Source organism: Homo sapiens, chromosome 7, assembly GCF_000001405.40.
Source record: "Homo sapiens chromosome 7, GRCh38.p14 Primary Assembly".
Classification (NCBI taxonomy): domain Eukaryota; kingdom Metazoa; phylum Chordata; class Mammalia; order Primates; family Hominidae; genus Homo; species Homo sapiens.
The window spans coordinates 95,297,635-95,324,655 of NC_000007.14; the positions used below are offsets into that span (position 1 = coordinate 95,297,635).

At 40.5% G+C, this 27,021-nt stretch overlaps 1 protein-coding gene across 1 annotated transcript, besides 1 other annotated feature; it reads right to left on the reverse strand.

Moving 5' to 3' along the window:
• Positions 42 to 26,898, reverse strand: PON1 (paraoxonase 1). The gene is made up of 9 exons (NM_000446.7): positions 26,768 to 26,898; positions 20,689 to 20,759; positions 19,100 to 19,155; positions 17,688 to 17,856; positions 13,817 to 13,943; positions 10,377 to 10,577; positions 8,651 to 8,732; positions 4,571 to 4,699; positions 42 to 1,468 (listed from the first exon to the last, which is right to left on the reverse strand). The coding sequence occupies exons 1-9, from the start codon at positions 26,839 to 26,841 to the stop codon at positions 1,310 to 1,312; spliced, it is 1,068 nt and encodes a 355-aa protein (NP_000437.3). The 5' UTR covers positions 26,842 to 26,898; the 3' UTR covers positions 42 to 1,309.
• Positions 26,842 to 27,021: a silencer, noted in NCBI's record as "silent region_18382". NCBI's record gives its function as "represses an Ori minimal core promoter by ATAC-STARR-seq in GM12878 lymphoblastoid cells {active_cell/tissue: GM12878}" and the evidence as "EXISTENCE:reporter gene assay evidence [ECO:0000049][PMID:35858748]".

Consider the following 27,021-nt stretch of genomic DNA (forward strand, 5'->3'; position numbering starts at 1 on the left):
TACAAAAATTAGCCGGGCATGGTGGTGTGTGCCTGTAGTCCCAGCTATCCGGGAGGCTGAGGCACAAGAATCTCTTGAACCTCGGAGGTAGAAGTTGCAGTGAGCCAAGATCGCACCACTGCACTCCAGCCTGGGCAACAGAGTGAGATTCGGTCTCAAAAACAAAACAAAAACAAGAAAAAAATTTGTTTCTAAAGTCACTGCCTTAACACCCTGAAGAAGTAATTCATCATGAAGGTTATACCTTCAAATCAGAAAAACAAATAAATGAAAATGTGTAACCTTTATATATCAGTTTCTATAACAAAATGATAAAGTCATGTTTTCTTCCTAGTCATGTCTCAGTAGATAGCCAAAGGGGTTGTTGATCTTTTCTATTTATTTGTTTGTTTACCTTTCTATTATTTTTTTTCTTTTCAGCCTCCACAACAAGAAGTTTAAATATTAAACAAAAACCCACCAGCACTACCACCACCTCAACAACAGTGTAGTCTTTGGGGACACTTTTAGCTTCGCCCATGTCAATTATGGGATTCATTCTGTATCCAGTCATCGAAGTGAACAAACTTCCTTTAACCAAGTCAAAGACACTCAAATGTACAATTTGTGCCAAGATCATAGAGACTCATAATTTTCAGGTGTGACAACACTCCCAAGAATTTTAAGATTTTCCTATGTGTCATTGCAACAGGAGAATTGAAAAAGCAAGAGTACAAGGGGAGTTGGAATAATTCAGGTTAATATTTACTGAGAAAAAGTCATATATCGAAGGGAAAATGGGAGTAAGTAAGTCTGACTGCCATAGTCAGACTTACTATGTGCATGGAGTAGAGGGGAACTTCATAATGCATATGTTTTCTGGCCTGTGAACTGGAGTCCCTGGGTGAGTACTGGAGTTCTAAAGACACGTGAGCTAACCCTGCTCCCCTGTGTCTTCTGAACAAGACATGGCAAGGCAGCGATACACACATGTGCTTCCAGGCAACACATGTTTTAGGGTAAGTACTTTTGGGGTCACACACTGTTATTTAATATCTGACAATTGACATAACTGATTTATCCATTTTAGTGAGAAGGATTTTTATGGTAAATGAGGTTTTCAAGTATTCCAAGACTGATTTGATAGTGTATTCTCAAAAAAAAGCCCTACACATCATATCACTCCCAGTTAAACAGTGCTTTGATGCTTCATGATGTCCACATTTAGGGTCAGCATTCATTGTTCAGCTAAGAACACTGGGTCCTCGGAATATGGCAAGCGGTTGAAATAATGGCCTCAGTTTCTATGGCATGGGTGCAAATCGGTCTGTTAGAGCTCACAGTAAAGAGCTTTGTGAAACACTGTGCCAATCAGCAGTTTCCCTTTGTACACAGAGGCAACTGTACTGCCTTGCAACACTGTGCCATTTTCTGCATAAACCTGTGTCACTTTAGGTTCTTCTGTTAGAATGTTCTGGATTCGAAGCACCTGTGGAAGAAATAACATTGGGTTAATATTTTTGTTAAGTCACTTAAAACAACCTTATGCATAATAGGGTCATCCTCCATAAGAAGCCATATAATCTTATACAATGAGATAAATCCTATTTTGTTCCAAAATTACACTTAACACACCTGTTTCTTCATTTGGGAACAGGTGGGTACTGATCTCAAGTGATCTTTAGCAGAGGTGGAGAGTATCTAGACCTACAGGGATGAGGCAGGAAATGCAAATGAGCAGCGCATCCTGGATGTGGGACATTAGGGAGCAGTGGGGATTTCAGTAAATGTGGAGGGAGGAAGCTGTTACTCAGTATGATAGTTAATACTGAGAGTCAACTTGATTGGATTGAAGGATGCAAAGTATTGATCCTGGGTGTCTGTGAGCGTGTTGCCAAAGGAGATTAACATTTGAGTCAGTGGGCTGCAAAAGGCAGACCCACCCTTAATCTGGGTGGGCACAATCTAATCAGCTGCCAGCGAATATAAAGCAGGCAGAAAAACATGAAGAGGAGAGACTGGCCTACCCTCCCAGCCTACATCTTTCTCCCATGCTGATGCTTCCTGCCCTCAAACATCAGACTCCAAATTCTTCAGTTTTGAGACTCAGACTGGCTCTCCTTGCTCCTCAGGCTTGCAGACCGCCTACTGTGGGATCTTGTGATCAGGTAAGTTAATACTTAATAAACCCCCTTTACATATATATATATCCTATTAGTTCTGTCCCTCTAGGGAACCTTGACTAATACACTCAGCAATAGCCAAACTGTTGCCATGCAGTAATTAAGGTCCGTTTTCATGTATTTTCAGGTAAGCCAGGGAACTAACTGGATGTTTACACTTAATTCCTGGTTTTTAAAATGCAGACAAGAAAAAAAATGTGGCCCTCAAAAAACCATATCTGTGTACCATACTCATGTGTTCTGAACTTAACCTCCTGTCTCTAAATGTATAAGATTTTGTAAGTTCAGTTTCCTTCACTTAATTGAGGAGAAATGTGATTGTATCAATAATAACAGTGTAGTATCATGTTAAGCCAACCATATGAAATAGCCAATATCTGATCATTCTGACTGTAAAAAATAGCAATAGCGTGTGATTCAACTTAGTATGAAAAGCACTACACTGAGGTGGGAGACCTGGGTCATGTCTTGGATCTTCCACTCACATTTGTTTCTCATCTGTAGAATGAAATGGGTGGGACTAGATTATCTCTAAATTCCCCTTCAGCTCTAGCTTTCTATTATTAAGCCTTTATGATAATATATAATGACTTGAAGAAAGGATATCTACATCACAAATGTGGCAGACGGTGAAGGCCACTGCGTGGATATAAAAGGGTCTGTGGGAACGTTCAAAATGACCTCTTAAAAACAGCTGGCACCAAAGACAGATGTCTTAGGAAGTTGCCATAGCATTAACATGTAGTAGTTACAGGGAAATAGTTGATGGTACACCTTGGCTTAGCTAAGCTTCTTGTTAATAAAACTAAATCACTCATCTAGGGGCAGTGCATTGGATAAGGAATTGTTACTACTTTTTGCTACTCCTTTGCAGATCAATCATTAGAAATGAAGTATTTTCTCCAGAACAACAAACCAAGTCCATGCTATAGCAAATGACCCAAGGTTACTAAATGAGCTAACAAGCAAGAACAAATTAGAATCTAACATTCTGCTCAGTTCTGAGCACTGAACACTCCACAGCATACATTTCTTCAATTCTATTAAACATACCATTCAGCAACCCTAATAGCTAAAAACTAGCAAAAGGCACAAAGGGTTGCCATTAAACATGATCACAATTGTCCTGCAAACCTAGAGATAAAAGGTAAGAGAGCCATAATGTAAATGGAAATACACATTTGTTTCTTTTTTTTTTAACCCAAGAGATACGGGCTTTAACACTTTTTTTTTTCCTGTTGGGCAGGTGAAATGGACTCTTAAAACTGAGCTTTAACAATACACAGCAGTAGACAAATATGTCAAGATGATATCATATATATGATGTAAGTAATAAGTATCCTTAGTAGATACTGAAAACTCAGTAAATGTGCAAATACCTATATTGAAGTAGGTTGCAAATTCTTACTTGTACCCAAAATAGTTCACTGAATAAAGACCGTGGACAAAAAATGGGACCTTTGAGTACTGTAACTAAGGTGGAAGATGAGATCTTCTAAGCCAGAATAATTCCAGCTATTTATCTTGCCACCTGCAGGAAGATCTAGAGAGGCTGGCCAGTGTGCTCCAGGACTGGTCCATTGCATGGACCTGTGCGTATACCGCCACACAGGAAGGGGGAGTTGAATAGGAAGGCAGGTAATGAATGATTAAACCATAGCAGTATGGCATCATTATGTTCTTTGAGGATCCCTTAACCAGAGGCCAAGTTCCTGTCAGGCAACCCTCTCCACCCACCACCGTCTACCTGTTCTGGCTTCTGGTATTCATTTCCTCCCTCCCTTGCTAGCCCTGGGGTACTGCATTATAACTCTGTTGATTACCCTACACTGTGTCCACACATTTTGTGTATAGTCCGTTGATTAAACTCCCCTCAAATTATCCAATTTAAGTGTGCCATGTGTTTCTTGCCTAGACTCTGACTAAAGCACCTCCAAAAGCCTTCATTTCTGATCATTTGGATCATCTATCCATGTCCCCCCTTTTATTTGCACATAGAATTGAGAATTGGCCGGGCACGGTGGCTCACGCCTGTAATCCCGGCACTTTGGGAGGCCGAGGCGGGTGGATCACAAGGTCAGCAGATCAAGACCATCCTGGCCAACAGGATGAAACCCTGTCTCTACTAAAAAAAAAAAAAAATACAAAAAATTAGCCAGGCATGGTGGCATGCGCCTGTGGTCCCAACTACTTGGGAGGCTGAGGCAGGAGAATGGTGTGAACCCGGGAGGCGGAGCTTGCAGTGAGCCAAGATTGCGCCACTGCACTCCAGCCTGGGCGACAGAGCGATACTCTGTCACAAAAAAAAAAAAAAAAAAAAAAAAACCAAGAATTGAGAATTATGTTGTCAACTGAAAAAACAGTAGCTGGGAATAAAGTCACTTATCTGGTTCATTTTTAAAACTTACCTCTGATGCAGGAGGATTCTCTGAGTCATAGAAGAAGATTTTCATGCCATTGGGATGGCATCCAACCCAAAGGTCTCCTGTCTCAGGATCCACAGATATGTTATCCACGAGGGTATTAAAGTCAAGGGACTTAAAAGATTAAAAACAAGAAAAGAACAAGACATAAAGTAAAACACAATTGTGATGGAGCAAAATATATCAGAGAAAAGTTGCCTCTTGTCCTTGGTCACCACGCTGCTGCTTCCAAGGATACAATTCTGCCCCATTTCAATAAGACTCACAAAATTTCTCTGACCTTTCATCTATGCTAGTATTTTGTCAGTTTCCAGGGCAGAATTGGGTAGGGTGAAGATACAGAAAGCCAAGAAAGACTGTTAAAAGTTAGACAAAATCATTTGTACCAACATCTGTGCATGAACCTAAAACTGAAAAAAAAAAGAAGTTTTCGGTGCATCATAAAACATCTCCTTCTAAAATGGCATGTGGTAATGATATTTTTATAAGCATTCAGAAAACAACCAGGAAATGTAGATTCTTTCTCAGAAGAATATCAATGAAATGTGGACTCTTTAATGGCTAATCATAGGCTGTGCAGCCAGAGAAGAAATGATCACCCAGGGTCTCATTTTTGCCTTGTAGTTGAGGAAAAGTTTGTTCTTTAGTTTCCTGATGTTGTTCAACTCCCCGTTCTTCTGCTGTTTATTCTCTAAATATAAGTTGCAAGCATTTGATGACTGCACAGATTGCTGTCGAGGCTTTGTACAAGGATCATAAATAATACCAATGATTCTTAATTCCACCATTCATCATCTTGGCTGCCTTCTACTGGGGAGAAATCCCATCTATTTGTTTACCTCTAATTCTCAGTTGGAGAAATAATATCTACCATGTACCTCAGAGGCCAGCATACCTCAGTGCCCAGAGAACCTGTAAATAACTGGTCATGACTCATTGAAAAAGCCAGGGCATAAGCAGACAGCTGCAGAAAACCAACGTTTCCCTGTGCCTCCTACTCAAAATGAGAGCTGTTCCTCACATGCCCAAGGAGGGATTAGAGGGCTCAAGCATCATGGCAGAGCCTCAGTCTCGCCACCATGCAGAGCCATCAGTCTTTCTTACCCCAGAGACAGGCAAGACAGGCGGCTCCATGCTTGCTTTCTCCATCCCTAAACCCCTGTCCATCCCAGTGTCAGCACACCACTCTGATACCATAATGTCTTTGAATGAGGAAAATGTTTGTTTCAGGGCTTTGCTCTTATCTTTGGAAGCAGTACAGCCAATTGGTGAATTCCACGGCAGATGAAACCTGAGATGAGAGTGGGAGTGGGAGAAGGACACAGAAACCTGGGGTCCCATTCATTCAAGACACAATTACTGAGCTCCTACATGAGCTCTGCAAGGAACGCAACACCTGGAGAGCACCAGGTACCCAGCAGACACAGCTCATGCCATGGAAGTGCTGACAGTCTAGCAGGGAGCCTGTTCTGAGTCCAGCAATGAACTCTTTGCCTTGCAAATAAATAATTCCTCTCCATGCTAACTCATGCAAGACCCCTGCGTATCACATCTCACACTCCCACAAAGGCAACTCGAAAAATTCGCATTCCTTGGTCAAGAAAACATAATAAATTATTCTCTTTGGGAAAAACAGAGTATTCTCTGTTAACAAATATTCCAGGTTTTTGCGCATTGAGGTTCATTGAAGTGTGACTAATTCATTGACTAAGTCCTGGAATCTTTTTTTGGAGAGAGGAGAGAATTATTTCTATCGTGGTAAAATATATAAAAATTTGACATTTTAACCATTTTTAAGTGTAAAACTCAGTGGCATTAAGTATATTCACAATGTTGTGCAACCATCATCACCATCCCTCTCCAGAACTTTTAATCAGCCCCAAATAGAAATCCTGTACCCATTAAACAATAGCTCCCTATTCTTCTCTCCCCCAAGTTCCTAGCAATCACCATTCTATTCTATTTTCTGTCTCCATGAATTTGCCTGTTCTAGGTACTTCCTATTAGTAAATCGTACAATATTTATCCTTTTGTTGCTGGCTTATGTCATTTAGCATCATGTTTTTCAAGGCTTATCCATGTTGTAGCAGGTATCAGAACTTCATTCCTTTTTTTTTTTTTTTTTTTTTTTAGATGGCGTTTTGCTCTTGTTGCCCAGACTGGAGTACAATGGTGTGATCTCAGCTCACTGCAACCTCCGCCTCCCAGGTTCAAGTGATTCTCCTGCCTCAGTCTCCCAGGTAGCTGGGATTATAGGCATGTGCCACCATGTCTGGCTAATTTTTTGTACCTTTAGTAGAGACGGGGTTTCACCATATTGGCCAGGCTGGTCTTGAACTCTTGACCTCGTGATCCACCCACCTCAGCCTCCCACAGTGCTGGGATTACAGGTGTGAGCCACCGCACCCGGCCAAGAACTTCATTCCTTTTTAAGGCTGAACAATATCCAATTGGACATAAACCCATCCACACCTCATCACAAATTTAAGAATAGCCTCAGCTAGTTTATCAAATTACTTGGCACTCTCGGGCATTAATTAACTGATATTAATTAATACGGTCTTTCAAAAGAAAGAATAATGTGACAATTGATGGAGAACCTTTTTGGGGTTTTCATGATGGGAGACAGGCCTGGTCTGTTGCTGAAACTGGCCTTGCCCTCAGTCTCACCCTGGTGAGAGCAGAGCCTTGACATTCTGTGGTGAATGTCTGTTACATTGGGTTCTATTCTCATAAAATTCTTTAACTTTTGTTTTACAGAAATACCTGTTGTTAAAACCGCAGCTTGTTTTTTATTCCCTTAGCCAGTATGAGCGTGTGAAATTCCATTTTACTTGAGCTAATACCAAACTAGCCCTGCCAGTGATTTTTAATGTCAAACACGATGTTACATTTGATGTTGCTTTAAGGTAATTTTCTCTGAGTGAGGCCCCTCATGACAGTCTCTCAGATGTGCTGACAGGAACAGTCATACAATTGGCGCTGACAGTGCTTCCTGCAGTGGGCGTTTATGGCAGGAAAGCAACGTCTTGCTGTTTTTCGGAGGTAGAGGGCTGCTTTCTTAGGGCTCTAGTTTGCTCTTGGTCTCTTTTTCCTCTCCTTTGTGTTTTCACCCATTTTGACTCCAACCTTCAGATGACCAGAATTGGTGGGGGCAGCAGGTGAATCCCTGAAGCATGCCCAGCCCCACCGCAGTAATTTAACAAGTATTTGTTAAGTGCCAACTAGTCAATGTGAATTGTACCAGAAGCAAATAGAAAAACAGCCTGTCCTTGTGGAGCTTACACCCTAGTTGGGGAATCAGGTAATAAAGGGTATGAATAAAATATATAGTATGTTAGCAATACGTGCTGAATGGAAAAATAAAGCAGGAAAGGCGAGGGAAAATACGTAGCGGGAGGGAGCAGTTCCAGGTTTTGAAGATCGAGGTGACGTTTTAGTAAAAATGAAAGGAGATGAAGGAGGGGGTCATGGAGATCTGGAGGAAGGTTTCTCCTCCTAGCAGAGGGAATGGTGCCCCGTTCTGAGACAGTGGCAGGAGACGTGGGGCAGGGACACAATGGTTGGAGGTAAAGGCAGAGAGGTGAGGGGCAGCCAGGTCACCTAGCAGCCATCGTGAGCACGTGGACTTCATAAACATTGTGGAGAGCAGCCCTGCATAAAGTACAATTTGAGGCTATTTCTTGGCTGTTCCATCAACATAGAGGAAAAAAGAGAAAGAAAAGGGAGGAGAGGGAAGGAAGGTGGAGGAGAGGGAGATCAGAAGAAAGGCAGGAAGGGAGGGATGGAAGGAGGATCTGGGAACACAATGCCAAGCTTAAAATTTGCTAGAGCAGAAAGAATGCAAGGTTCACGGGTAAGAGGTGGGGTTTGCTGTTTGCCACTCTGCAGTTGAGTAAAAATGAACAACAAACACATAACCAAGCTAATGACTCTTAATAAAGGAGTGAAAAATTGGTTCTCACCCACCCCAATTAAGCAGTCCTTTTTTCTTCACATTTAATTTCACAAATCAATTAGAATCTAATTATCACTCTGCAGACTTACAGTGTTAATACGTCTTACCTTCAATGGAGTTAAAGTCCAATTAGCATGCTTTTCATACACATGAATCTTATGAGCCAGCAACTCAGCTATATAGACATACCTTCAAAGAAGAAAGAGCTACATCAAAGTACTAGAAGTAACACAACTTGAGAGATTAAGATGAAGTTGTAATACCTATTCATAGGGAAGAACTTTGCTTAAGGAATGGAAAATGGAACCCACCTCAAACACACCAAATTCTGAAAGAACTCAGTGAGTTTACAGTGACAGAGGGGTTTAATCTCTGAAAAGTTGTTTCTGAAGGAGGGGACATAGTTGTCCTTATCAGTATGGGAGGAACTTAGCCCTAACACTAACTTTTAGTATCTGGGAGTAAAATGCATTACAGCGTTTCTCTTTTGGTTTGACAATTTAGTGTCAAGGCCCAGGTTCTGCATTTCAGGGGCTAGTGAGTTCTCTCTCGGGAAAGTTGCAGGAAAGCCCTTGGACAACAGCCCCTTGTTTTAATCCAGAGAAAATATGAGAGAAGAAAAGCTGCTTGGCTTGGATCAAGAGAAGTCTTCCTCCTCTTCTGCCCTGAGTGTGGTCCTGACCCTGTGGCTTTAGTCATACCCCACAAAGATCTGGGGTTAGTCTAAGCACTGTGCATCCCCCCAACAAAAAAAAGAAATTACTGCTCAATTATCTTCTATTTTTTGAAAACTGGTCTATGATATGAATAATTAAAAGCTGTCCCTGTCCCTGTTGCTCTCACTTGCTTGCTTGCTTGCTTTTTCTTTTCTTTCTTTCTTTCTTTTTTTTTTTTTTAAAAAAAAACAGAGTCTTGCTCTGTCACCCACGCTGGAGTGCAGTGGTGCAATCTCAGCTCACTGCAACCTCCACCTCCCAGGTTCAAGCAATTCTCCTGCCTGGCCTCCCTGGTAGCTGGGATTACAGGAGTGCGCCACCACGCCTGGCTAATTTTTGTATTTTTAGTAGAGATGGGGTTTCGCCATGATGGCCAGGCTGGTCTATGACCTCAGGTGATCCACCCACCTTGGCCTCCCGAAGTGCTAGGATTACAGGCATGAACCACCACACCTGGCCCCTGTTGCTTTCTCTAAGCATATGTTACGGACTCTAAAATCCTTGATGATGACACAAGATGAGAAAGGGCATATATGTGGATGGATATAGATATTTCATGTATATACCAATGCTACCCAAAATGCAGTCTCCAGACCAATGTTGGTTTGCAAATTGTTTGTTATAGCTCACCATGAGATAACATTATAAATCAAATACATCACTAAGCACACTGCTTAGTTAAACTGACTTGTTTTTCACAGTAATACTTTCTTGATGAAGGAAGTATTGCCTTGATTTACATTTTGGTACAAATTCCTCATCTTGTCATAAACCTGCACTACTGACGTATCTATACCTGCATACTATTCAACTCATTATACACTCACATCTTTACTCAAAACAAAGCTATTCAGACATATCAAATCTTCATCACAGTTCCCCCTCTTAAAATGTACTTTCTTTCCAAAAAGGAAATAAAACCAGTATGCCTTCACAATGAAATTTTTGATTTGATAAATTTCACCCCCTGAAAAATTAAGACATTTTACATTTTTCCTAATTTTATCTCACTAGGGTAACATGTTAAAATGTATCATATTACTTAAAAAAAGAATATATTCCAAGATATCTCCTGAGAATCTGAGTAAATCCACTACATTTCAGAGAGTTCACATACTTGCCATCGGGTGAAATGTTGATTCCATTAGCAAAATCAAATCCTTCTGCCACCACTCGAACTTCACTTGGACTATAGTAGACAACATACGACCACGCTAAACCCAAATACATCTCCCAGGATTGTAAGTAGGGGTCAAGAAAATAGTGATCATTTGTGCCATAAAAGTGCTCAGGTCCCACAGCAACAATATCATTCAAACTGCAATTAAAACATACACACATAATATATAAGGTGAAGGTATTGAACATTACAGGATTATTAACTGGCATTCCTCACTGTCTATTCCTAAAATCAAGATGTGGGATGGAGCCTTCGTGCTAGCTATAATGGAACACAATTAATATGAAATTAGTCCTGCCGATACAATCCTTAGACAATCATTGGTCTAAGAAATCTGAGGAGGTGATTATAGCACTGTAACATAAAAATCCTATTATATGTATCTTAAAATAGTGTTACGTCGTGTGTGTGTGTGTGTGTGTGTGTGTGTGTGTGTGTATCTGTGTGTGTCTGTGTGTAAATACACTAAATTCAGTAGAAATTAAATTAAGCCAGAAATCATTGTCAGGGCAAAAATGTGCTCACATATCTGGGCTCACATAGAACTAACTCCCATAAGAAATTGAAAAAATGCTGAACCAGCAGCCTGGATACTTGCATTTTAGTTTAAGCTCTGCTACTATTAGCTGTGTGATCTAAGAAAAATCAATCTTTTCACATGTCAGGACCTCAGTTTTCTTATCTGTGAAAGCAGGATGATAGACTGGTTGATCTTCCAGCCTTAAGATTTCGTGATTCTAAACTGAATGAAATGTCCATGAACAAGAATGCTCAGAAATAGAATGCTATGGCTTTTTTTTTTTCCTTTCTGATTAGGATTCTCTGTTACTGAAAATGTAAGATATATGAGTCTATTTTTCTGCTTTAATGGATACAATAGGGAACACATAAGTGAGTCATTCTTTGCTGATTGAGGTGATGGAAGTTCCCCAGGGCATGATCTGGGAGAAAATTATCTCTGCTCTATTGCAGAGGCGTCATGGCCAGCGCATCAGCTCTGACGCAGCTCTGAGCTCTCAGGCAAGTTAGACAGGCATGCAGAGCCTCAGTTTTCTCATCTGTAAAGAGAGGTTAAATGATATTCTCAAAATCATACAGCTCATTAGTAGAAAACTAAGGGTCAGGATCTTAATTTGTGGAGTTGCAGTGGGAATTACAATGAGACAATGCCTGTTGTGTGCTTTGCAGGGAGCATGACATTCAATAAACCCTCAATCAATGCTAGCCACTATTACAACATGAAAAAAAAAAAAAGGTCTCGGAATTTAGGATTAGTCTGGATGGGCTCCAGACATAAATCTACAATCTGATTTTACTCTCTCTTTTTTAAAAGTAAATTTCTTAAATTAGTATGCTGGACTATCATTTGTCTGTTTTTCACAGAAAGGGGCAGAGTGGAATGGTTTAGAGCAATAGCTTTTTATTGCTGAAAATTTACTACCCCCAGGTGTAGTAAAATAAGTAAATAAATAACAAATTTTTAAAGGGTAATAGAGTAATAGCTTTGAAATCTGATGGACTTCATTTGCATCCTGACACTGCTTGCTATCCTTATAATGTGGGGCCACAGCATTGTCACTAAATTTTGAGCCACTATTCTGAACCTCTGTTTTCTCTGTATACCTTGAAAGGCTAGAGTAAGAATACAATGAAATAATGAATGCAAAGGCCTTCACACCATGCCTGGCATACAGTAAATGACCAATAATAACAGTTGTGATATATGAATAATAACAAGTTTAAATTATAATAGATTTAGTTATTGGAATATTAATGTTATAAAAAACCATAAAATACAAAGAAGAAAATACACACAGCTAATCCTTGGATTGAGAGAGCAGAACTCTAGTTAATTACGGCACCGTGGTTATTTTCAGTCTCCAATGCTGCCTAAGACCAATATTTTTGCAACTGGCTCAAGAAAAAAATACTCCAATCCGGTAACGTAGACCAATCTGAGATTTCCAAGATTAAATGTTAAAACACATAATTTTTTTCACTATTTTGTAGAGGTTTAAAGCACCAGCTCTGAACTCATGTTACCAGGATTAGAATCACAGCTGCACCATTTACTGATGATGTCATCTGGGGAAACTTAACAATTAGTCCAGGCCTCAACTTTTTAAAAATCCAAAATGGATATAATAATAACACCTAATTCAGAAGGTATTTGTAAAACATCAATAAAATAATCTGTTTGAATTAGTTAGTGTAGCACCTGACTTACAGAGAAAGCTCATTTATTAGTGTTATCATTTGCCCAGCTTCTCCATTCTACATACTGTTCTCTACTTTAAATCTTGGTGTTCCTCACATTCTCCACTCAGTGACCTTATTCTCTCTCCAAAATATATTTGTTAAATAAATGCACGAATAAACTCTTCCACCAAAAGCTGTTCTCTGAACTTTTATTCATCTTGATGGGGCAGAAGATGACCTGAGCTGGGGTTCCTACTTGGCCACTAGTGAGTTGATTGGCCTTCATCCAGTAACTCAATTTCTCTCCAATCTCATTTTCCTCATCCTCAAACCACCAGATAAGAAAGAAGAGGAAGGGGTCCTGGTAACACAGAGTGCACACTACATACCAGGCCCTTAGCTAGGTACCTGCAAAGAGTACAAATCTAGATTTACAGATATGGAGGTAGTCAAATGCTGTACATAAATTATATAAAAATAGGTTGGGATTCTAGAAAATCGTAATCAGTTGGAGGTAAATGTTTCAGAAGATAGAGTCGGATTGTTCTCCTAAATCCATCACTGGCCTTACAAGCCAAATCTTCACAGGGCATGTGAGGAAGTTGACTGAGATTGGAGATTCTTGAGTGTTTTATTTCACCATATGTTACATGAACAAGGTGCCTAGGGGGAATTGAGTGTTACCACAGATCTGCTATTGCATAAATTTTGTGCAATCAAACAGCAGCGGAGGCAGTATAAGGAGGTCTTAGATGCACTTGATTCAGGGTCTCCTCTTGGGTCTGTGTTTCTAATTCATGGAAACATCTAAGAGTCTACTTTTTAATATAAATAAATAAGCTCATGATGTCAAATTTATCTATGAAGCCGGTTTGGGTTTGAAATACTAAGTCTGGTTCTGAAGAAGAGGATTTTTTTCCTGGTAATAACTTGAATGGAGATCCTGAGGCCAGGAGCCAGCATCCAATCAGCTCGAGAAACAAGAGAGGAAAAGAATGGGCCGTCTCTGAGGGGCTTGAGTCCTCAGAAGGTTCTTCAGAAGAGCATGTGGAGGAGTTTGTGATCATTAGAAATGAGAGTTGAACAGCCATACCTACTCTGGCCAAAAGGAAAAACTAAAAGTGGATTAACTATCCGCTACAGCTAAAGGAAAATAGAAATGTGATATATCTCAGTACTTAGGCAGAAGTTTATGTCTGATGGTTTTTAGATGCAAAAGCGATTTTTCTTCTTCTTGAAATTTAAACAACTCCACTGTGGACTTGGCATCTGGATGGTTCACCACCAGGAGGTACATGGCATTATCTGAGAGGAGATTAAAAACAAAAATGAAACATTAACTAAGCTCTCACTGTCAGCCCTCTCTCCAAAAACCAATTTCAACCCACCTCCAGCTAGTAGTTAGGATGTCAGGCAGATGGAATATTTTCATCTCTTTGTAGAGAGAAGCATTGGTGATTGCTCCTGTTCCAAACAAAAGTGGCTCAAGGAAGAACCAGTGACAGTCTCTGAAAACTCAAAACTCCACAGGAGAAAAAAAAATTCTCAAGAATGAGTATCACTGACACTAAAACTCCAAAGAATCCTTTAAGTTTTCCAGTTCAAATGGTCTCCACGAAATGCACAGTTGCGATGAAAGGGATAAAAACCATGGGAACTCCCAATATGAGAAGGTGTGATCAGGTGTAATTTACACAGTGTGAGATGATACATTCCATAGAAGAACATCTGAGAAATAGTAGCAAACAAACAGAAGCAGCTTCCTTGGATAAGTGGGACTTTAAGAACACAAAGGTGACCAGTCTAAGCGGTCAAGAATGTGTGATCAGAGCTGGCAAGTAAAAGTTAGATTATGGTCTTTGCCTTAAGAAAGAGTAGGTCTTTTGAAACCTCTGACATGATCAAATTGGCGTTTTTGTTTTGTTTTGTTTTGTTTTTGAGACGGAGTTTCACTCCTGTTGCCCAGGCTGGAGTGCAATGGCGCCATCTCGGCTCACTGCAACCTCCGCCTCCCAGGTTCAAGCGATTCTCCTGCCTCAGCCTCCCAAGTAGCTGGGATTACAGGTGCCCACCACCATGCCTGGCTAATTTTTGTGTTTTTAGTAGAGATGGGGTTTCACCATGTTAAGATGCAAAATTTGGCAGGTTGAATTGAGAAGATTTGAACAGAGAAAGCTGCTAAAATGATTTTCATTACCCCATTCAGCAAACAAGTGTTTAATTTATTTTAGTTGGCGTTAAATGCTACAAAGGAAAAATACAACAGGATAAAAGAATAGAGAGTAACGAAGTATTATCTTCATGGGAGTCAGGCATGTTCTCTCTGATGAGGGGATGTTAGAGCAAAAACCTAAGTGAAATAAGAGAACGAATAATGTGGATATCTAGGGAAAGAGCATTCCAGGTTGAGGGGAGAAAGTGTGCAAAGGCCCTGGGGCAGAACTTCCTGGACATATTCACTTAATAGTGAGGTTGTGCTGGGAGTGTGCAAAGGCCCCGGGGCAGAACTTCCGGGACATATTCACTTAATAGTGAGGTTGTGCTGGGAGTGTGCAAAGGCCCCGGGGCAGAACTTCCTGGACATATTCACTTAATTGTGAGGTTGTGCTGGGAGCAGAGTGAAGGCAAGAGAGAGTGGGAGAGTGAGAGGGCTGAAACCACAGGGAGCCAGAATCAGTCTTGTTAGGGCTTAAGATGAAGATCCAAGCTTTGCTCACTGGGGTATTTGAACCAAGGAGTAACATGAGCTGAGGCTACAGCAGTAATCCAGCAATGTGGAGAGAAAGGACTGGACCAAGAGGATGCCACTGGCAATAAAAGGCAGGAAAGGTCATGAGAGGCATTTGACAGGAAGAATCCAAAGGCCCTGAATACAGCTGAGGAAGGAGGGTGTTGGAAATCAAATTCAAGTGAGGATTAAAACCTGAATTCACATTTTGTGCAGTGGATTCTACTTCTAGAAATGTATCCTAAGGATATAGTCTCAGAAAATACATGTGCGAGAAAGTTTATTTTGGCATTGTTTGCAATGAGCATAAAGGTGGGAACAACCTAAATATTTGTTAGCAGATGAGCTATATTACAGTGCTCCCACACAACTGAATCCCGAACTGCCTTGGCAAAGCAACTGCAAATGTGCTATATATAAAGGAGTCCATGATGTAGTGTTTAATGCAGAAGAAATTTATAGAAGGGGTTGTGTAATATTACCTCATTTTTATTTTAAAAAGTATCCACACATCAAACACTATATTTCTTTGTACTTAAAAATATTTTTAAAATAAAACATAATGGTGATGAATGGGTGGATGAGTGGAAAGTCCATTGAAAGGGATATATATGTATATGTGTGTGTGTGTGTGTGTGTGTGTGTGTGTGTGTGTGTCTCACATGGGGAAGAGAAGGAAAGATAAAAGGATGGAAAATCACTTTCAACATTTTGAGTTTAAAGTGTCTATAGGAAAGGAATCCAAATAGAAGTGTCCAGTAAGCACCTGCGGCATTAAAAGTGAAGGGCTAATGAAAAGAAGAAGAATAATAATACCCCTATTTGGGGATGTCCTCCTAGAAAGCAGGCAGTGTGACACTGGTTTGAAAGTTCTAAAATAGAGAAAATATAGAGGAAGTAAAAGATCAAACCTCTGGGGTAGTGCTCAGGGAAGTAGCAATGAGTGACAAAACAATGAATTGGGGAGAAAACCTGTAGTAGGATGAGAACTGGAACAGCTAGGTGCACTGCAGTATCAGGGAAGAGCAAGTTTTGTGAATGAGAAAATGGTAAACAGCATAAAAGCAGGTGAAGTAGGCTGGGCGCGGTGGCTCACAACTGTAATCCCAGCACTTTGGGAGGCCGAGATGGGAGGATTGCCTGAGCTCAGGAGTTCGAGACCAGCCTGGGCAACATGGTGAAACCCCCGTCTCTACTAAAATACGAAAAATCAGCCAGGCATGGCGGCATGCACCTGTGGTCCCCGCTACTCAGGAGGCTGAGGCAGGAGAATTGCTTGAACCCGGGAGGTGAAGTTTTCAGTGAGCCAAGATTGCGCCACTGCACTCCAGCCTGGGAGAGAGCAAGACTCCATCTCAAAAACAAAACAAAACAAAAAACAAAAGGAGGTGAAGGAAGGAAGGAAGGGAAGAGGGAAGGAAGGAGAGGGAGGAAGGGAAGAGAGGAGATTTGTTAGTAGGAACATCACTGATGATTCTCAAGGTAGCAATTTTAGCCACCCACAGTGGGGAAAGTCCAGAAGAGGAACTGAATGAGGGATCGTCTGATGATGAAATGGAGGTAATGGGTATAAACGTGGTTCTTAACCCTAGCCTGACATTTTTATCAACTGAAAAACTTTTAACAACTACTGTGATCCAGGCCTCCCTCAGACTAACGGAATTGGAATCTGTCAAGCTGGGGGCTGGGCATCGAGTCTTTTTAAACTCTTCAGGTGCTACCATTGTGCAACTGGGGCTGAAAATTAATACAGAGACAAGGAAGTGACAGCAAATGGAAAGGGAGAAAGGGAGTAAAGACATAAAGGATGACACCAAGTTATGTTGAAAGGGACCAACATGCAGAGGAGCATTTTGAACACAGAACAGAGGAACCAGCGGACAGGAGGCATTGAAGATAATGGGACCGGCAGAAAGCTGACCATGGTGACTTTCTGTCACTGGACCTATAGCTTACAGATGCCTTGGGTTAGAAAAATCTGTTCCTGTAAATGCCCGAGTCTTGAAAATCGTTTAAAATGGAAAAGCTATAATGATCAGGGCTGGATATTATTATTATGGTAATTATAGGGATAATGTGAATGTTAGTATTTTACAAAATTAGATGCTTTACAAATCTTAAATATTTTAGCATTCTCAAGTATTTAAGTGGTTTTACTATAAAGTTCAATTAACATAGAGGGTAAGTTTAAAACCCAGAGTAAGAACATTATTCATGACTATGCTTTGTTTGAATGAGAAAAAATAATTCATTTATTGGCATGTTTTTCTGTTTTTGTTTTAAGTTTGGTTTTGGTTTTAATAAATAGTAAATATTGTTACCTTCATCTGTGAATGTGCTAATCCCATGAGGGTTAAATGAAGATACATCAAATTTACTTCCAGTGATCCCCAATTCCAACACTGTTGGATCTTCTTCATTCAGGTCCATCAGAAGTATTTTTCCAGGACTGTTGGGGTTGAAGCTCTTTATTCCAGGATACTTTAATCCCTTATAAACCATGGAGGAGAAAAATCAAGCACAATACCAGTACTTCAAATGCTAATAGAGGCGCTGCATGGCCCATGGGTTCATGTTGACTGCTCCAAACCACAGGGCTAGCCAGATGGCCACATAGGAAGCCTCTTAGTTAGCTTCTGTAATGGGTCCCCAGGAGAAGTCTTCTGGAAGCCACATGCTCCACTAGGCCACCCCACACAAACCCTTTCATCCCCTGCAGCAAAGTCATATGTGCACGACACTACAGCTTCCAGCCCATGAGAAAGATCAAAAATGGAAGAGCAGACCAAAAAGGCAATTAATAATAGTCTTCAATGATATAAGCAAGGAATACAGAGAGAATATTGCTTATGGCTTTTAAACTGTTCCCTGGTAGGTCCTTGGAAGCATCTCAAAGACAGAGTTTTGGTGGGCCAGAGGAACTACTCCTTTCTTAGCCTTCAATCAAAACAATAAAGCTGTTGTTTTATATATTGTGTTCCCATATAAGATTTTGCTTGAAATACACCTTATGTTGCTCAAGAAAGTTTGCAAGACATTGCTTTGCAGGATGACTAGTCTATCATCTTTGTAAGAGAAAACTGGACTAAGTAAATTACAAGGGGTAGCAAAGGTTTTTAAATGGCTGGATGATTGTCTGTCGTTTCCTATCAACTCTGTTATGTTATGATCCCTAGGCCAGATGGTGGACTTCTTTTGTTTTGCACTATATCAGCTACCATAGCGATCTATATGCAGGACAGTTTCAGCAAATATGGTGGATTCTGTCTTCAAAGCTTGGGAATTGGGAATTGGGACCTATCAACAATTTTAAATTAAAGGGCTTATTCTGAAATTTGTTTAAAAATGTGAAAGTTGAAATGACCTGTGAAGTAGTATACATTAAATGTATATTTAATTTAGCAAATATTTGAATATGGCAATTTTAAGTGCTTAGGGAATAGACAATTGAGAGGAAAACAATTCTTGAATACACTGAACTCACAAAAAAATTGCTGCAATAGAAGCTAACGTAATATGGTTCAATGTAGACCGAAGAACACAAATATGCATAGAACACGCATGATCATAATTATAGCACAAGTGTAAATGCATACACAATTTGTCTTTTAAACCATGACTGTTCATTTTATTTGAAAGTGGGCATGGGTATACAGAAAGCCTAAGTGAAAGACTTAAACTGCCAGTCCTAGAAAACGTTCTAGAACACAGAAAAGTGAAAGAAAACACTCACAGAGCTAATGAAAGCCAGTCCATTAGGCAGTATCTCCAAGTCTTCAGAGCCAGTTTCTGCCAGAAAAGAGAACAGAAAGTACAGGTTGTTTCATATTATTGCAGGATGTGGATCCATTTCTTTATCACACCTCACTTGAAACTGGGGCTATACATCACTCTTCTTTAATAGGTTCAGAATAATTCATTCTTTCATTTATTCAAATTGATGAATGCGATTATATGGAAATTAAAAATATATTAATTCATTAACAAGTTTAATTAAAATTTACACTTAGTATATTTGTTTTAAATTGATGGACTAGAGCTTTTTCCTCAAAGACTGAATCCTCTTAAAGTTCATGGAAATTCACAAAACGTACAAAAGCCATGATTATTTGAAAAGAACTTGTTTTCTAAAGATACAAGGTAAATTACAAATATATGTTGATACTTAATACTTCCAAATCAATTAAACCCTTGGAAAGCCATATTGAAGATATAAGCAAATTCCAAATAGTTGAGTTAAAATGGGGATACATTTTAGGTGATCAAGAATATGAATTTTTACTACTAATTATAAACATCGGTTAAATATTACTGTCTTCAAGTTAGTTATACTTTAAGTACATGTAAATTTTTAACATTTCAATTTATCTAGAGAAAAATGAACTATTTGATAGGTATTTCTACACTTAGTGGAAAGTTTGCTTTTCAAAAACCCAGTGATATTTGATATCAATATCATATTTTTCTAGAAAACAATCGCACCATAAGATATCTAGTGAAATTTAGTGGTACTAAGTCATCTGATCTAGCCTCCTGAGCCTTAATCAACTGAGATGAATAATTCTAAAAGAACAAAAAAAAAAAAAAAAAAAAGAAAGAAAAAGAAACACCCAAAGCACACAAAAGCATGATCTCAAACCAATTGTCTTCAAATAACAAAGCTGGTTGGTTGGAACCAGCTGGAGAGTTGAGCCCGGGGACTCTCCTTGTTGGTTGCCTCCCAGCTGCTATTCTCCTACCGTTTTATCTTTGCTGACAGGGCCTGCCTCCCACATTGGAGGCTTGATAATTACTTTCCCAGCATCCTTTGCAACTAGGGCACCAGCCTGTCCTCCAGCTCTGACAAATAAGATCTAAGGGGAAATCTGCTGAGAGCTTCTGGAAAAAATTTTCCTGTCCAATATCAAAAGAGAGATGCATAAGGAGAAGCCTTGTGGTAATTGCAAAGTCCTGTCAGAGCCTTTCTAAAAAAAAGTTACCTTTATTCAATGCTTTATCTGGCTCTCCCTCCCCTCTTCTGCCATCTCCTCAGGTTAGATTGCCATGGAATCAAACATTATTCTATTTTTCTTTTTTCTTTTTTTCTTTTTTTTTTTTTTGCTCTATTGATCAAACAAAAACAAACAACCAAAACTCCCAACACCTTGGCAGTATGTTGGTGAAGTCAAAAGTCAAACAACATGGTATTTATCATTAACTACCACTGACTCTCCTGATTCAAAATTTTATTTTTGGACAGAATTGAACAGGCACATTAATCACACAAAGAGCAAAAAAATACCGGAAGTTCAAATGAGACCCTTCTTCCTCTCACATACATACCGATTCCTTTAACTAAATTACAGTTAGGAAGTTCTACGGGTTGTACCTCTCGGAGAGCATTAAGTCGTGTTCTGTGGGGGAGAAAGAAATAAAACACACACAAAACTATTCAGAAATTATAATAAGTTGCAAAGGTAGGCAGTCCACAAAAGTTCTCCTTCACTGTACTTTGCCTGAGTTTCAACTCCAGAGTTTTTCCTGCAATTTTTCCAGGCAAGGCCAGGGCAAGACAAGTGGGGAACTCTGGGTACAATATTTAGTTTTTATTTAGCAGAGGTGGATAGGTACACATAAGAGATACATAATATCCTCTCTAGGGCTCTGTGTACTTTGGCAGGAACAGGAGCAATTTCATCAGTGTGTAAGGACTCCTAGGTGGAAAGTCCGGGTAAATGGCAACATGGTTCCAGTTTATTCCATTGATGTTTTAGAGTTGCTGACAGATGGGCAGCCTCCTACTCATCTGCCCAATCTGACTCCGCAGCCTGGACTGGGCATCTGCTTTGTGATGTAGTGCTTGAAAAATACAGGTACGTTGAAAGGATTTGTAACTTCAGAAAATCATACACAAGGCCTGCATGTAAAAAGGCATTTCACACACACAGGTGCACTCACACACATACACAGGAGCGACTTATTAGATATGAGTGCATAAACACCATAGAAAATGTCTGAGTAAAGGACAAAGGAAAAATGAACAGATGTGAGAAGGAAGTGCCAGCCGGCTGCCTGAGCAGAGCGAAGCTACTGATGCTGCATTTGAAAGAAACAGACGACGTTAGCACAACCAAGAGATTTAAACAATAAACTTTTTTTTTTTTTTTTAGAGAACTAGTGATACAGTATTGTCATAGCAAGTAGTGACAATTATCCAAATATCCCTAGAAATCTTATTTGGCTTCAGATAGGCTAAGAAATTTACTTGTCCTCCTGATGACTTGAACTCACAGGAGGCGGATGGGCTACAGGCGGAACAGACACGCTAGATAAAATTCTTACCGACGTGGTACAAAATGATAGGAATTTGGGGGTGATTGATCTTTCATTTATTCATTCAGAAAAAAATGAGTACATTCCTACCATCAGGCCACTGGCTATCATTTTCGCTGTCTAAAAAAATCTGACGTAAGAGGCAAGGAGTGCCTCTTAATAATCTGCTTTGTAAAAGTGCCACAGTTTGTCCCAACGTATAACCAGAGTAAAGAGCCACCAGTCTAGGTACTAGAAATACAGAGATGAATGAATAGATGATGAAGGCTTGGACTGTGAGGAGACTGTGGTTTCCTGATTGATAGATGTGAACTTAGAAAGCAGGCTTCAAAGGAAAGTTGGAATCTGTCCCATAACCTAAGAAAGGGAAAGGTATTTTCAAAATGAAAATCTGACATTATAATTGCAAATATTGACAATAAGGAAATAAAAGGGGAAGTGATAAAGCAGTGGCTTACAAACTTTTCAGACAGAGACTCACAGTAGGAAAAGTATTTTATATGGTGCGAACACCCAGCACATGCACACACATACACATACACATCTGAATCAAGCTTCACAAAACAATACTCATCCTAATCTGTGTCATACATTCATAACTTTTCTGTTCAATTCTGTTTTATTTATTTTTAAATGTTGGTAATTATTTACTAAATTGACTTTGTTACCCACCATTTGAAAAAACTCTGGTCTAGGGAAAGTGTAGTGAATATTTGTAGCATGCCCTCAAGGAACCAAAGGGCAGGTACAAGATGTTAAGGGTGATGGTCATAACCGAGGACAACACAAAGACTGGCATGGAAGGAGAGATTCAAGGACATAAAATCACTGAATGGGCCAAGACTTGTGAAAAACACCAAGGATAGTCAAATTCACTTTTCTTAGACTCAAAACCAATGGGAAGAATACTCATGCTGCCTGACTCACAAGGGTCACTAAACATATGGGTTCACAAAAGATGGAGAAAGGCAGAACTGGTCAGCTCCTATTCTAATTCAGGCTTCTCTCTCATAGAAGATGATCTCTAGCCTGGAAAACATAGAATAATCACAGTTAAAGGGAGCCCAGGGTGGGCAAGGGGGCATTAAGTCAGCACTTGTTGATTTGGGTTCCAATTTGTGGCCCAAACATGTCATATCTCAACAGGATAATCATTACTACTATAGTTCAGGTACCGTATATGCCCGCGTTTAATCCTCAAACACCTCCGTGAGGTGTTATTTTCCCTAAGTTATAGTTGACCAAGATTAAGTGGCTTTCTAAGGCCACAGAGTTATAAAGTGGCTGAGCAGGGATTGGAATTCAAGTATGAACACAAAGCTCACATTTAGCTCTCTGACCAGGCAAAATCTACAGAGAACACTGCTTAAAAGCTGGAAGATGCACCTGAAAATTGACCCACCTGTGTTATTATCATCCAACTCATATTTTTTCTACCTCATTTTCAATTTATTAGGAAATATCTTGTCAAAGGCTTAAGTCCAAATGTTCTGGGCCTAAGAGATAAGGGTCAATGTCTGAGATATATCTCTGATTCACTAGACTCTGAACTCTGCGCAGAAACCATACAGCCTTTGCTGTGAACTTGTCTGAGTCTGCTTTGTGTCACTCTAAAGGAACATCTGAGGCTAAGCAACTGATAAAGAAAAAAGGTTTATTTGGCTTATGATTCTGGATGGTTAGAAAGTTCAGGATTGGGTATCTGCATCTGGTGAGGGGCTCTGGCTGCTTCCACTCATTGCAGAAGATGAAGAGAAGCCAGTACTCACAGAGATCATGGGATGAGAGAGAATGTAAGAGAGGGGAGAGGTACCAGGCTCTTTTCAATCAACCAGCTCTCTCGAAATGAATAGAGTGAGAATTCACTCACTCCCAAGGAGGTCATTAATCTATTCATGAGGGATCCATCTTCATGACCCAAACACCTCCCATTGGGCCCCACCTCCAACATTAGAGATCAAATACGAGGTTTGGAGAGGACGAACATCCAAACCAAGGCAGAAGTATTCGGTGAAAATACATGCTGGCTGCTCGCAGAAAAAAGCAGAGATCTTTGCCTAGGCATTAAGAAATCCGTATCGATTCTCAAACTCTTCTTGGGGCCAAATTCACTCTAATCAGTCTATTTTCTGCTACTACACACGCCTCATTCATTCAAATTGCTTTTCATGGCCTACTATGTGCCAAGCTCCAATAAGGGCTCTCACACATACTTCCTCATTTAATCTTTTTAGCCACCTTTGAGAAAAAGATGAATATTTACCCTGTTTTGTAGGTAAGGAAATGGAGGCACTGAGAGGCTGAGTAAATTGCATGTGGTTGCTTATTTAAGAGGGTAGAGTTGGGATTTGAAATCAAGTGTCATGATACTAAGGACTCTTCCCTGTATTTCTTTCATACCTCTTTTTATTTGCTCACACTTTTCCCTTCACCTAGAATGCTCTTTAGCCCATTACCCACTGGAAAGACCCCTACTCATGATGCTTTGTAGCTTCTCCAGTCTTCTGCATTGGGATTAATAACTCCTTAGTTTACCCTCAGGAACCTTCACATATACATCTGTCAACTTTCTTACCATAGTTGTCATAGTTGTCAGTTTCACAGCTGTCAGTTTTTGTTCTTTTGCTCCCAGTAGACTTTAAAATTGGTGAGTGAATACTGCAACCTATTCATTCCTATAACCTCCAGCAGAAACACAACGTTTGCAAAGAGAAGGTACTCTGCAGATGTCCACTGAAGTGTTTTGTGGAGATACTAGGCAAGTACATCAGACTGAGAAGATGGTGTTGGTTGCATTCATAGGGGAGACTGGAGGGTTGGAGGATTATTTGTCCTTATCTCAGACTTTCAATGAAGTATGATTATAATACATATTCAAGTATCACTCTATATTTTTGAGATCACATATGACAGCTATAAAAGCTAACGTTTACAGGACATCTGCTATATGCCTGATTTTTATATATATATATATACTTAGTTTTATTTATATGTTTTATATAAATATAAATATATGTATGTGTGTGTGTGTGTGTGTGTATATATATATATATATGCTGTAATATGTATTATTATCCCCTAATTTTCGGGTGGAGAAACTGGCTGGAACTTTTCTGGAATAAAGTGGTAAAATAACTTGAAAGTTGCAGAAATGATATCTAACCCAGGTCATCAGGAATCCACAACTACTCTCTTCCCACAACTGTGTGTTGCCTACAGTAAGCATGGAATGGCAGAAATGCATCGAGAGGCCCAACGTTAGCTTTGTGGTTTCCTTCTGAGAAGGGAAACTCAGTGGACTCACGTATTGCAATTAGCAATGTAGGGACAAGGAAGTTGCCATACAGATGCTGCAACATTCCATAGCCCAAGTTGGGGTAGGGGAGGGGAGCTGTTTCTACCATCATCCAAGGCATTCCCTGGACTTGTGCGGCACATACAGCCGACTACAAAGGTGGGAGACTCGTGGGTGGGAGACTCGTGGTCTAGGGGAACTCTCTCAGTTCTTTTCTCTGTACTGCTCCCACCTGGGAAACTCAGAAATCTCTTGAGGCATCCCTTGTGTGCTTCCTTAAGTTCCCTCCAGCCCAGGCATATATAGCTTCCTGTGAGCCGCACACACATACACTCCAAGTCTGAAGAAAAAAGGATGCATCTATCCTGGGGATTTGGCTTGCTCCTGATGCAGGCCTCATGATATCATCTCTTGCCTTCTCTCCCTGGGGCAGATTCATGATCTCTAATCCCCCAGGGAGTTTGTTCCATGACGCTGGTTCTGATTCAATAGTGTGGGGTAGGGCTTGAGATTCTGCCTGTACAGGGAGCCCCTAGGTGATGCTCAGGCATCTGGTCCCCAGACCCAGTTGAGTAGCTAGGTTTTAGGGGTTTCCAACAGTGGGTAAAATTTCCCTTCCTTCCTCTGTCTGGGTCACTCCAGGAGGCTCAGCAACCCATCCTTTATCTATATATTTTTATCTATACCTATAATCTCCTTTGGCAGCCACCAGCACTGTGATTAATAAAAACTCACAAACTGTAATTTTTACATGATTTAAAAGCCAAGAATACCAACTGCTTCTTACTTTTTTTCTGCACTCTGTAACTTAAAAAAATTAGAAAAACATCCACAATAAATAGTAAAAACCCATTCTGAATGTAAGCTTCTAATTAGTCCATAAGCTCATATAATTTTTTTATATTTAATTTTTATTAGGTTTTACTTTAAAGTAAATAAGGCATTGTTGACTAAGCCTTAGAGACTAGGATGATCTGTAGACTTTGAACTCCTGTTAAAAGTTATGAAACTTTTGATACATTCTTAAAATATCCCCACCCCCCTTGTATAGCACTTAACCCTTTATTAAATACTTTAAAGGGAAGCAGGGAACTAACATTTATTGAATAGCTACTCTGTCGCAGGCAGTGTGTATTACTATTTCCAGTTTACTGAAGCAGCTAAGGTTAGAGATGTAAAGTGATTTGCCCAAATCGCATACTCATGGGGCAGAGCTAAACCCCAGGACATCAGATGCTGGCTCCAGGGTTCCCTCTTCCCCGCCTGCCCCCACTGAAGCGAACCATCACAGCACACGTTAGCTCCACCTGCTCGGGTCCACACGCAGTTTTGCTGTGGCCCTCAGTAGCCTCAATTTGAGAATCTTCAAGCCTGGAAGGTTTGCCATGGCCAGGCAGTCAAGGCGCAGAAGCGACAGGGGCTCCTTTCTCTAATACACAAAATATCAGGAGAACCCCCAGCCAGGTTAGTTTGTTTCTTTCCAGGTTGAGAAGTGAATCTGTAGCCAGGGCACACAAATCTTCATGAAAAATTAATTCGTGTATGCTGACAACCTGGGCACTCACACCCCTGGCAATTGCCTCCTTATCCCATGTCTCAGGCCATGAGCAAGAGTTTGTTTTCAAGTGACACATGACGGCTGGACAAACATTTATGAAACCCCCGCAGAGTGTGCATCTAGCACCTGCTTGTAAATGTTCTGTTAACAGCCTGGACCCAACTTTCTGGGGGCTCGTGGAGCTGGCAGGGAGTGAGGAGGACGAAGGCTGCAGCCCTCACCACAACCCAACTTACTGGTAAGAAGACTGGTGGTTCCTGAAGAGTGCCAGTCCCATCCCCAAGAGGGTGAGCGCAATCAGCTTCGCCATGGTCGGGGATAGACAAAGGGATCGATGGGCGCAGACACCGACGGGCTAGGAGGCTCTGCCTGCCTGCAGCCGCAGCCCTGCTGGGGCAGCGCCGATTGGCCCGCCCCGCCCCTCCCCGCCGGGTCGGCAGCTAGCTGGGCCGACCAGGTGCACAGAAGGCGTGGCTTGCGGTCAGCCCCC